General features: G+C 37.2%; 1 protein-coding gene and 1 long non-coding RNA gene across 9 annotated transcripts in view; one reads left to right on the forward strand and one right to left on the reverse strand.

The window, feature by feature from the left end:
• CHROMR (cholesterol induced regulator of metabolism RNA) overlaps positions 1–6,898 on the forward strand; it is a 26,585-nt gene extending 19,687 nt beyond the window's left edge. For 2 of the 3 annotated variants that reach the window (NR_110205.1, NR_110206.1), the window contains one exon: positions 37–746. This is a non-coding gene — a long non-coding RNA (cholesterol induced regulator of metabolism RNA). Of the gene's footprint in view, positions 1–36; positions 747–5,521 lie in introns of those variants that run through there. The other variant, NR_110204.1, reaches the window with a different exon arrangement.
• The window catches only part of PRKRA (protein activator of interferon induced protein kinase EIF2AK2), a 19,762-nt gene that overhangs the window by 1,932 nt on the left and 5,253 nt on the right, over positions 1–12,577 (reverse strand). For 4 of the 6 annotated variants that reach the window (NM_003690.5, NM_001139517.1, NM_001139518.1 and 1 more), the window contains 4 exons: positions 11,077–11,155; positions 9,922–10,039; positions 8,265–8,359; positions 2,800–2,974 (listed from right to left, as the gene is read on the reverse strand). In NM_003690.5, the coding sequence (NP_003681.1) occupies positions 2,800–2,974; positions 8,265–8,359; positions 9,922–10,039; positions 11,077–11,155 (467 nt within the window). Of the gene's footprint in view, positions 1–2,799; positions 2,975–8,264; positions 8,360–9,921; positions 10,040–11,076; positions 11,156–12,080; positions 12,191–12,577 lie in introns of those variants that run through there. The other 2 variants (NM_001316362.2, XM_047446138.1) reach the window with 2 other exon arrangements.

Raw genomic sequence — 12,577 nt, forward strand, 5'->3', positions numbered from 1 at the left:
TTTGTTTAAATACCAGTTTTTTATTTATACTCCTAGGAGTGGAGTTGCTGGGTCATATGGCAATTCATTTGAGGAACTGAGAAGCTTATTCCATGGAGGCTGAACTGTTTTATATTCCCACCAGCAACGTGTAAGGTTCCAGTTTATCTACATCATCACCAACACTTGCTATTTTCCATTTCATTAATGATAGCCATCCTAGTGGATTTGAAGTGGTACCTTATTATCGTGGTTTTGATTGCATTCTCTATTGACTAATGATATCGAGCATCTTTTCATGTATTTTTTGGTCATTTGGTCATTTTTCTTTTTTAATTTTAAAATTTTGAGACAGGCTCTCACTATGTTGCCCAGGTGGTCTCAAACTCCTGGGTTCCAGCGATGCTCATGCCTCAGTCTCCCAAAGGGGTGGGATTACAGGTGTGAGCCACTTTGCCCAGCCCATTTGTATATCTCCTTTGGAGAATATCTAGGTTCTTTTGAAGGTAGCTGCATATAAACTAGCCAAATTAACAGACTGTGGTTTTTAGATGGCTTTCCATATCTACAAGAACTATTTAGTTCTCAAAACTGGGAAGAAATGTTTCAGAGGCATCATTAATTCATAATCTAAAAATTTATCTTGGGTTTCCTTTTTTCCCCCAGATTCTGTATCCTCCATAGTCCTATTCATGACATGGGTCGTTCATCTCTGTATTCTAAACCCTCAATGAACTGTAGACAGTAATAAATATTTATTGGATGAATGGTCTCTCATCAGCCACCTTTTCTTTTTTTTTTTTTGAGACAGAGTCTCACTCTGTCACTCAGGCTGGAGTGCAGTGGCGCGATCTCGGTTCACTGCAACCTCTGCCTCCCGGGTTCAAGTGATTCTCCCACCTGAGCCTCCCGAGTAGCTGGGATTACAGGTGCACGCCACCTTGTCTGGCTAATTTTTGTATTTTTAGTAGAGACAGGGTTTCACCGTGTTGGTCAGGCTGGTCTCAAACGCCTGACCTCAGGTGATCTGCCCGACTTGGCCTCCCAAAGTGCTGGGATTACAGGTGTGAGCCACCGCACCTGGCCTCCAGCCTCTTTTCTTTTTTTTTTTTGAGACAAGTCTAACTCTGTCACCCAGGCTGGAGAGCAGCGGCATGATCATGGCTCACTGCTGCCTCAACCTCAGAGGCTCAAGTCATTGTCCCCACCTCAGCCTCCCTAGTAGACTGGACTACAGGCATGTGCCACCACACCCAGCTAATTTTTCATCAGCCACCTTTTCTAACCATCTGTCTGCACTGACTTCCCAGGTTCTGCATCATTATTGGTTTACTGAGACAATGCACTTCACCCGTCCTTCAATCCCAAAGTAGCACAGAATATCAGGAGTTCTTTGAGCCCCTAAGTGCCCTACTTTCCCAGGGTCAGGGGACCCTGACAAGCAAGGTCCCCACATCTTTCTGTGGTTGGATAGGGATATAAAATTTCTCACACATGTTAAATCAAGATACTTTGGCCAGGCACGGTGGCTCACACCTGTAATCCCAGCACTTTGGGAGGCTGAGGTGTACAGATCACTTGAGGTCAGGAGTTTGAGACAAGCCTGGTCAACATGGTGAAACTCCCATCTCTACTAAAAAAAAAAAAACTTTGGGAGGCCGAGGTGGGTGGATCATGAGGTCAGGAGTTTGAGACCAGCCTGGCCAACATGGTGAAACCCCGTCTCTACTAAAAATGCAAAAATTAGGTGGGTGTGGTGGCACACAGCAGTAGTCCCAGCTACTCAGGAGGCTGAGGCAGGAGAATTGCTTGAACCTGGGAGGCAGAGGTTACAGTGAGCTGAGATCATGCCACCGCACTCCAACCAGGGCAACAGATCAAGACTCCATCTTGGGGAAAAAAAAAAAAATTAGCCAGGCTTGGTGGTGGATGCCTGTATTCCCAGCTTCTTGGGAGACTGAAGCAGGAGGATCGCTTGAACCCAGGAGGCAGAGGTTGCAGTGAGTTGAGATTGTGCCACTGTACTCCAGCCTGGGCAACAGAAACAATACTCCGTCTCAAAAAAAAAAAAAAAAAAAAAAAATCAAGACACCAAACACACACAACTAATTAGCTCTATAAATTGAATTAAAAGAAAATCCATACTGACTTGCTTTCCCATCTGTCCATATTTGTCTATCCAAATGATTAAGGGCTAGAGAAAATACAGATGATGATGGCTGAGATGGGATAAAACTATAAATTGACTTGGTTCCATTTACCTCCCAGAATCAGCATACAGTGACAAAGTAGAGAGAAAAGGTCTGGGCACCACAAACTTGTACTTGTGCTAGAAATGTAGGTGCCTTTTCATTTGCCCAGCAGGGCTAGTTTAACAGCCAGGGTATCTTCTGGGACTCTTCCCCAAATCTTGCTCTACCGCTGACTAGCTATGTGATCTTGGGCAAGTTTCTCAACCTTTCTGTGCCTTTCTTCCTTTACTTATAAATAAGGATAACAGAATTTGCTTCATAGAGTTAGTCTGAGGATTCAGTAAGTAGATACGTGTAATCTTAGAACAGTGTCTGGCACACAGTAAAACTCTATCTTTGCTATTGTTGTTTTTGTTATAACTGTATAGATGTTAGCTATTATTACTATCCACAAGAATGGGACATATCAATTATATATATTACTGGCCTAGTAATTATATATACTTAGAATCCCTGATCAATAAAATAAATTGTAATAGAAATTTTTATTCCTCAAACACATTTTTGTTCCTCAAACACATTTTTAAATAAACATGTCTTGGGAAAGCCAAAGAAAAAAAAATCATACCTATATCCAAATATGTTATATTAAAACCTTGTTCCTTGGCAATTTCACTAAGCAGCTGGATGTAATCTGTATTTGGAATACTAAGGAGGCTTCTTTTCAGTAAGTTGATCTTTTCACCAGGAGAATTCCTCAAGGAATGCCAAGTACATCCTAAAGAATGTCCTACTACATTTGTCTGAAAAACAGAGATGAAGATTTAGACTCTTGACTAGGACTGGGTTCCAACACCCGTACCAGTATCATTAAAAGTACTTATTAAGCACTCACATTTAATATGTTATAAAGCATGTTTAAATGGATAACATTTGGTTAATTTTCCAATTTAAACAAGACAACATTAAAAAGTACACATTTAACAATACTATATGTTTTTAAGAAGCACTTGCAATAATATACTGAAAGCATTTTGTATTTTGTATAGTACAAATGTTTCTCAGTCAAGTTTTCTGATGGTCACATTAAGAGGTACAAGATATCTGGAAGCACCATAAGTAAATCCACAAATAATTAAATCTGCCTAATGGAGCAATTTGCAGATTAAAATATAGAACAATTTTCATATCTTTGGTTTTTTTTGTATTAAATACCAATCACTATAACTGACAGCTATCAAACAGGAAAAAAAACAGAAAAAAAAACTAAAAAAAACATGAAATGTGCGCGTTGGGTTTGAGGAACAAGTCATTCAAATAAATGACAGGATGTCAAAAAGTTCTTATCAGACTTCTATCCCAGAACCCAACTGAGTATTTTTTTCCTTTTTCTTTCTGCTTTTCCTCTTTCCTTTATCCTCCCCTATATCCTTCCCTTTTCATCTCTGTCCTTAGAATGCCTTATATTTCCATATTAGTTTATGGTTCTCAAATTGCTTTCATATGCCATTAATAAAAACAACTACTTTCTGAAGTAAGTAGGGTTACTACTCTTAATATTGTTTTATTAATGAGCACGACAGAGGGGAGGCAATTTCCAAAAGATTTTAGAGATGGCATGATATGGAATTAAGTAATTTATTAGATTTACCAAATAAAAATTTACATTATAGAAACTTTAAAATACTGTTTTTAAATAAAGAACACTATTTACATGGTTAAAAATATACATGCACTAAGAACAAATATATAATGAAGAGTACAGTCTCTTTTCCTTACCACCCATTCCCTGAAGACCTCTGTTCTATTTCTTAGACATACTGTTAAACATTTTTCAGTATCTTCCCATAAATGTTCTATGCATATGCAAGCACACACAATCTTTTAAAGCAAATGATAACTTACTCCTCTACATCTTGTTCATTTTTCTTTTATCAGTGCACATATATGCACTGTATTTACCTTACGGATCTCCAACTGTGAGCTTTAGGTTGTTTCTAGTTTCTTGCTTTTACTAGCAATAAACACTCTTTTGCACTTGAATGAGTTTCTCTGTAGAATTATTTCTAGAAGTGGAACTGCTAAGTCAAAGAACATGTACACTTTTAATTTTGATAAATACTTCCAAACTGATTTCTGAACCAATTTATACTCCTACCAACTGTCTTGGAGGGGGCTTGTTTTCTCATACCCTCACTAATACCAGCTATTATCAAATTTTGTAGTTTTTGCCAATCTAAAAGGTGAAAATATTTTATCTTGCATGAATAAAGTTGAATATTTTTTCTTTTTTTCCCTTAATCGTTTGCATTTCTTCTACTGGGTTGTCTTTTTAACTGATGCATAAGAGCTTTTTAAATTTTCTCTTTTTTAAGAGTTAGGATCTTGCTGTGTGGCTTAACTCTCAAACTCTTGGGCTCTAGCAGTCCTCCCACCTTAGCCTCCCGAGTAGCTGGGACTACAGGCATGTGCTGCTGTGTGCAGCAGATGTGTACAAAAGAGCTTTAAAGGTAGTACTGAAAACAGTTCCTTTATAGTTCTATGTTGAAAATAATTTCTTCCCACTTTTTTATTGTCTTAATTTACAGATTTTTTGCTGTGCAGTAGGTTTTATGTTGTCAAATGTATTAATCTTTTAACCTAGGTTTTAAGTTAAAATGCTTTCCCCATGCTAAGATTTTTAAAAAGAAAAACTCTTCCATGTTTCCTAATATTTATACTGTTTCAAATTTTTATGTTCAAATCTTTGATCCATCTGAAATTCACTTTGGTGTAAGGAATAAGGAAGCATTCTAAATAGATGTCATACACATCAACAAATATATATATATAGCCCCCACCCAAATGTGGATGTAAACTGTTTCTACATCATTATTGAATAATCCATCCTCTCACCCACTGATCTGAAATCTCACTGTTGCTATATACTATGGTCCTATGTGGATTAGCATCTACGCCTGGATTCTCTATTCGCTCCTCTGACTATTCCTGGCCCAGTAACTTGTCTGACAAGTTCAGTTTTACAGTATGTTTTGTTCTCTAGTAAAGCAGCACACCCTTGCTCTCCCAACTCTTCCTTTTCAGTTTTCTTGGCTATTCTTGAGGGTTTTTTTCCAGATAAACTTCAATAAACGTGTATCAAGGTCCAAAATGAACGCTGGTAGGTTTTTTTTTTTTTCGAGTTGGGGTCTCACTCTGTCGCCTAGGCTGGAGTGCAGTGGCGTGGATCTCTGCTCACTGCAAGCTCCGCCTCCCGGGTTCATGCCATTCTCCTGACTCAGCCTCCGGAGTAGCGGGGACTACAGGCGCACGCCACCAGGCCCGGCTAATTTTTTTTTTTGTATTTTTAGTAGAGACGGGGTTTCACCGCGTTAGCCAGAATGGTTTCTATCTCCTGACCTCATGATCCGCCCACCTCGGCCTCCCAAAGTGCTGGGATTACAGGCGTGAGCCACTGTGCCTGGCCAAACGCTGGTAGGTTTTGAGTGAGACCACATTACATTTAAATATATTTACAATGTTTTCTGCTCTATTCTTTAGTAGACTTTTCCTCACGTGGTCCTACGCATTTCTTTCTAAGTTTATTTTCATATAGCCTATCCCTGTCTACAATTTAAATTGGGATCTTCTATATTCTAGTTATTATTTGTAAATAAGAAAACTACTGACTTTTTTCTAGTATATTTTCTCAGAATAGGATTTTCTATTTTTCTATAAAATGACCAATGTTATGAAGCTTCGTAAGTTTTGTCAAAGTGATACACACATACAGCAAAAAATCAAATAGTACAGAAGTATAAAAGCAACAACCTCTGCCTTGCCCCTTCTCCACCTTCAGGTCCCCTTCCCAGATACAATAATTTTTAGCTTTTTATTTTTAATTATTCTGGTTGTTACCTACATAACTCTGGGCAATATGGAAAAGTTATTGATTTTGTATATTAATTTCATAATCAGTTACCTTGATGAATTCTCTTGTTTCTAGTAGTTTTTCTTTAGGGTTTTAAAGGGATACAATCATACCATTTGCAGTTAGTAACCATTTTATCTCCTCTTATTTCCAACTTCGTACTGTTTTCTCTTGTCTAATTTGTTTTTAATTGGTGGGTACTTCTAGAACAAGGTTAAATAAAAGTGGTGTTGGTGGGCGTCCTTATTTCTGATATTAATGGGAATGAGTATAATGTATAAATATATAACCATGATTTTGGTTTTTTTCCAAGTTTTTATCAGTAATGATTGCTGAGTTTTATCAAAATTTTTTTGGCATCCATTGAGAGGATTATATATTACTCTTTGACACATTAATGTGGTTAATTAAAGTAACCAACTTATTAACCTTGAAATAGTCTTAGTTAAATAAACCCTACTTGTCAATGCTATATCATTATTTTAATATTGTACTGAACATTTTACAAAGGTGTTTCACCATAAGGCATATTGATCTGTAATTTTTTTTTTTCTGTTGAACTTGCTATTGTCAGGTTTTGGTGTATTATGTTGGTTTTGGAGAATAAATTTAAAAGTTTCCTTTATGTTATCTATACATTGCCTGAAAAGAGTTTAAATAGCATTGAAAATGATCTCTTCTTTGAAGATTTAACCAATTTCACCTGTAAATCTGTCTGTGCTTTGTAATTTTGGTGATACTGTTGACTCAAATTCCAAAAGCAGTAAATGCAGTGTTTTATATTTTTCTATTAAAAATGTAAAATCAAATTATATTACTCATTTGTATATAGTCTTTGATTTTTTTCTAAAGAATGAGCCCTTATTTTATCATAAGCTCAGTGAAGAAGTTGCTACAGTTGTACTTTTTTATTTCCCACCTAATACACTACTCTCAGATAATGTACCACATGACACACCTATCTGTGAATATCAGAATCTGAAGTTATATATCATGTGTAGGCCAATCTCTTAAGCTCTGAATTTATTTGTTCAGCTACTCGATATATTCACTTAGCTATTCCATAAGCTATTCCATAAGCACTTCAAATTCAATATATTTAGTTCATTATCTGCTCCCCTCTTGCTATTGCCAAGTTTAAAATAGTAATTTCCTCCCTTTCCCTTGCTTCCCACATCCAATCAATTACCATGCCCCTTTACCTCAGTTTTCTAAATAACTTTAAAATCTACCCATCTCTCTCCATTTTCCCAGCCACTACCTTAGTTCAAGCTGTCATGTCTCACGTGTCTTCTGTAACAGCACTCTCGCAGGTCTCTTTGATCCTAATTTCACTCACTTACCATAATGCAGCCAAGTGATTTCCTTGTAATGTATAGACTAGATCCTGTCCTTCCCAGATTAAAATTCTTTAATGACTTTGTACTACCCTTGGGATAAAGTTCACTTTCCTTATATAGGGGTCCCTTTAAGATTTAATCCCTCTTTACTTTGCTGGCCTCATTGAGACTCCCTCCCTCCAACACTATGTTCTACACACAACAAATCACTTAGGGCTCCTAGACTGCATACGATGTTTCACTCCTGGCCTTTGCACACGCTTTTTCTTCTCTCTGGAATTCTTTTCCCCCATTCTACAGGTCTTGGCTTAGACATTACTTCTTCCTGGAATCTGTCTCCAAACCTGTTTTTGTTGGATGCCTTCTTCTATGTTCCCACATCACACTCTGTAAGGACTAGCCTATAGAATTCCTTCCTTTCAGTAGTCTATAAACTCCTTAGAGGCAGGGACTGCTTATTCACTGCACCCCAGTACCCAACACAACACTTAGCACACAGTATGAGCTCACTAAATGTTTGCTAAGTGAATGAATGAACAAACAAAGGGATGGAAATGCGCTGTCACTTTGAAGGCAAAAATGGCACTACTGGCCTATCATCTTTAGATCCCGTCCTATTATTCTGAATTTGACTGTGTCTCCCAAGCTCTCTTACCTAATTGCCTCTGTGATCCTGACTCACAAACAGGAAGCAGCTAAAAATGGGGTAGGGTATAACTGAATAATGAAGAGATTTCTAAAAATCACAACTCTGAAGTAGCTATAGAATAAGAAATCAAGGAAAGTTTCCTACTGCAAGAAATGCTTAATGACATTAACATCATAGCTGTCAACATTACTCACTAAAGAAATGTGGTTCTCTGGAGAAATATTACTAAATTTGGCAAGAAATTTCTCAGCAGCATTCCTTTTGGCTTGCTTTTTTGATGCCCCCTTTCCTGAACAAAGAAAAAGAAATGGTAGATTTAGAAAAGAAATTAGTGTCCACAGAGGATGATCAAACGTATGAAGTACTGTGTTTAATCAGAGAACCTCACGGTTTTTATTATATACTAGACTATGTTCTTACTGACCTGATAACTTTGTTTGTTATGCTATTTTGTTTGTATAGCTATTAATTCTTTTTTTTTTTTTTTTTGAGACGGACCCTCACTTTGTCACCAGGCTGGAGTGCAGTGGCACCATCTTGGCTCACTGCAACCTCCGCCTCCTGGGTTCAAGCAATTCTCCTGCTTCAGCCTCCCAAGTAGATGGGATTACAGGTGCCCACCACCACACCTGGCTGATTTTTTGTATTTAGTACAGACAGGGTTTTGCCATGTTGGCCAGGCTGGTCTCAAACTCCTTACCTCATATGATCGGCCCACCTCAGCCTCCCAAAGGGCTGGGATTATCAGTGTGAGCCACTGTGCCAGGCCTGTATAGTTACTAATTCTTACACTTTTGAAGACATTTGTTTTAAGTTTTTCTTTAATAGTTATGCTTTCTGTTTTTCTATAATAATTGTATTTTCCTATGTCTAGCATTACTGAACCATATTTGGTTTAATTCTGACCAATTATTTAGATTTATTAAAATACATCTGAATTATAACTCCTCTCTCTCAATGTCTATTTCCTGCTTATGATCTTCTCTAAACTGACGATTATATGAAATTCCTTTTAACAGGAATAAGAAAGGCACAGGGGATGGTGGAGTTGAAAGATACCATAAATATCTACCTCCATGCTTTTGTTTTATAGATTAAAAAACTGAGGTCCAGAGAAATTAAGTAATTTGCTTAACTTCGCGAATCAAGGACTGCATCAAGGACGGAAGCTGAGGTTCCTGCTTTTGGCCTGGTGCTTTCTGTACTGGCCACACTACCTCCCAAAGGCAAATAGTTTCTTATTACTTGAAACTATTATCTAGCTAAGCTAAAATCCCATTTTAAGCCACTTTTGAAAATAACAAAAACATGCCAGAGAAGTTAACAGGAATTCTCGCTAGTACTTTTTAAAGTGACAGCGTTTCTTATAGTTTATATCCTTTATAACATAGAAGTTGCTATAATTAAGAAAGATAATTTTCATTTTTATCTCACTGCAATTATTTGCCATGTAGTCTCTTATTAATCATATAATTTTCAAGTGTAATCTTCCTCTAGTCCTATTTTCTAGATAGAATAGCTGTTAAAATCCAAGAGATTTACTATAGCTTTTTCTCCAAATTGAGGTTTTTTAAGTCAGTAATTTATCAATGAAGACTGTTTAAAGTACAGAGCCAACAGTTTGTCTTTCTATTAATAATCTATGATTTTTAAAAATATCAAATTAAGAAGACTAAGTATCTTAAGCCAAATATTTATACTTAAGTTCAACCTCAGAAAGTCAGAGACAATAAAAGAGGAGTGTATCAATTTTTCTGCATAGAAATATTTGAAAACATTACGACAGAAATTTCGATAGTCATTCATCATCTGAAAATATTTCAAATGCCTTTAATTGTAAGAAATAAGTACCAGTTTCCATAAATGACTCTAGCCTGCAAATTGTAGTATATTCTCTCTTATGAGCAGGTCCTCCCTCCTGGGAAAGGGTATATTCAGGAAGTCTCCAGCCATGATGAATAGCCAATTCCTATAAAATCAAGATGAGGCTTTAATAGTAATTTTATGCAATGGCTCAATCACATAAGTGTTTTCTTAATTTTGATCCCATTTCTATGTATATGTTTGAAAAGAATAGTGATATTCTGCAACAGAAAAAAGAGGGAAGACCCTCTATTTCTCAAAGACATTCCCGCATTTTATATTTTTATACCCCAATACCAAAACTGAAGCAGTTTTGTGCTACGAATGGTGTTCTTGCATTAAACCACAGTGAGCTGGTATCAGACATCAACTAGAAAAACAGGCTACTACCGCCCTCTTTGGCAACACCAGAGGAGACCATCTACAGGTTTCACTGCCATCAGTTCCTAAAGTCCCTCCCCTCCTAGCTATAGACTTCCAAACCCACAGCTGGCCAAGAACACATGAGGAGTAGGGACAGCAAACAACAGACTTGCATAAAGTGGGGGACAGAAGGTGAAGAAAACTATAGAAAAGCTCACTGTGCAGGAAAAGGAGACCAAAGGACTGGCTGAATAATGGGGAGGGAAATGGCCTAACAGAGCACATGGATAATCTGCAAGAAGGATATTCTGCATATAGAAATTCAAAGCTGAATATATGTGTGTGTGTTTGTGTGTGTATAGATAAAATTTTTTTTTTTTGGTAGAATAAGCAAATAGACTCCTTTTCTTCAGTTAGGTTCACTGATTTGATTTAGGCTCTCTATAAAGTCTTCTGTCTCAACAGAAGTAGAAAGAGATTTGTCACAAGAGTAGCAAGAACTATTCTTAAAGTATAAAACACTTTACCCATGTGCACTGAGGGCCTGTTGATCTTAAATGAGAATTCTATAAGCCAAAGGCAAATACTGTATATGAAAGAAAACCCAGAACATAAATAGGAAAATAATTTCAAGTTAGCTCTGTTAATCTAATGATCGTAAGTTGGAAAACAAAATATATCACTATCTTGTCTTTAAAATATTAATTCCTTGTGTTAGCCCCTCTGACATTACAAACTTATTATATATTTCATCAGTAGGCAAAGAACTGTACAACTTACCTGTAATGAACCAATAGGATTAAGCTGGTTCTTTGGTTGCTTGGAAGGGTCAGGCATTAAGGGGTCAGGAACTGCAAAGCTAAATATTTTTTAAAAGTGTTATAAAACAAAATAATTTCCCCCGAATTATGAAATAAATGACAAGCATTTTCTAATTAACTCTCTATGTCTTTGCTCTTGTCATTCCTTCTACATGGAATGCCCTTTTCTCAGACCTCTTCTATGGGAATCTGATCGGTCATCCAAGATATATCTCAAATGTCACTTCCTCCAAGAAGCCTATCCTTTTACCCCAGTGGTTTATAATCTCTCCCTTCTTTGAAACATTATAACACATGGTTTAATCCTTTCTTGAAATTGTTTTACCATAAATTATATACTCTTACAAATACATATAATTTGTCCATCCTTCACCACACCTCTCCCCTGTTCAGACAGTAAGCTCCTTGAGGTAGGGCCTATGTATCACTTACCTACATAAGCTTTGTGGTGTTTTGTACATAATAGGCATGCCATAAAAATGTATTTAAAGAATACTCTGTTACAACTATACAAAAAACAGAAGAGTAACAATGATCCAGAAAATTTAGCCTGGCAATGTGAATAATACAGATTATGTGTAAATACTGTTTTTTCATCCACAGAACTATGAAGAGAGATCTGTTTGATCTATCATCTGCTCAGTGCTGGGATAATCCTCTAAGATTTACATGTATCCTGCAGAAAATAGATGGCTTAGATGAATTTGGTTTTAGCAAGTGGGGATTATGATTAGGGAAAAAGAGAACAACCTCTTCTAGGGAGTCTGGAATTACTAGTTACTTAGCAGGTCAGTACTTAAAACTGAATAAGCGGCATTTCAAGGTTAGTACCACCTAGGCAACTGGAGTCATTTTTCCATGACAAATGAGGTTTAGTTATTGCCACTTCCTCAAGGTTTTTTTTTTCCAACTGTGAGAATTTCAAGCTTTACATAGGCTGATGAGATATGAGTATTCACTTACAATGCTGCATGCCGAAGCTACCCAAATAATTGTGATGGAGAAGTGAGAAAGTCTCTGTATTAAGTCAGGCCACTTTAGGCCTGATTACAGCTTAGTAATTCCCATTTTATCTGTCAAGAAGCACAAATATAGTAAAGTTTGTTAGCTTTTTTTGCTGACAAAGTGCCAAGATGCAGAAAGGACACTCCATACCCCTCATTTCTACAAATGTACTTAATGGTTGGGTTCACCTTCAGGCTATACAGAAACAGCATGGCCATCACCAGTGGGGGAGAACCCAATACCTGCCATGTCATTTGGCATGTCTTTTTTTTGTTTGTTTGGAGACAGAGTCTTGCTCTGTCGCCCAGGCTGGAGTGCAATGGCGCGATCCCAGCTCACTGCAACCACTGCCTACTGGGTCCAAGGAATTCTCGTGTCTCAGCCTCCCAAGCAGCTGGGATTACAGGAGCGTGCCACCACACTCGGCTAATTTTTTGTATTTTTAGTAGAGACGA

Source organism: Homo sapiens, chromosome 2 (genome assembly GCF_000001405.40).
Source record: "Homo sapiens chromosome 2, GRCh38.p14 Primary Assembly".
In the NCBI taxonomy this organism is placed as follows: domain Eukaryota; kingdom Metazoa; phylum Chordata; class Mammalia; order Primates; family Hominidae; genus Homo; species Homo sapiens.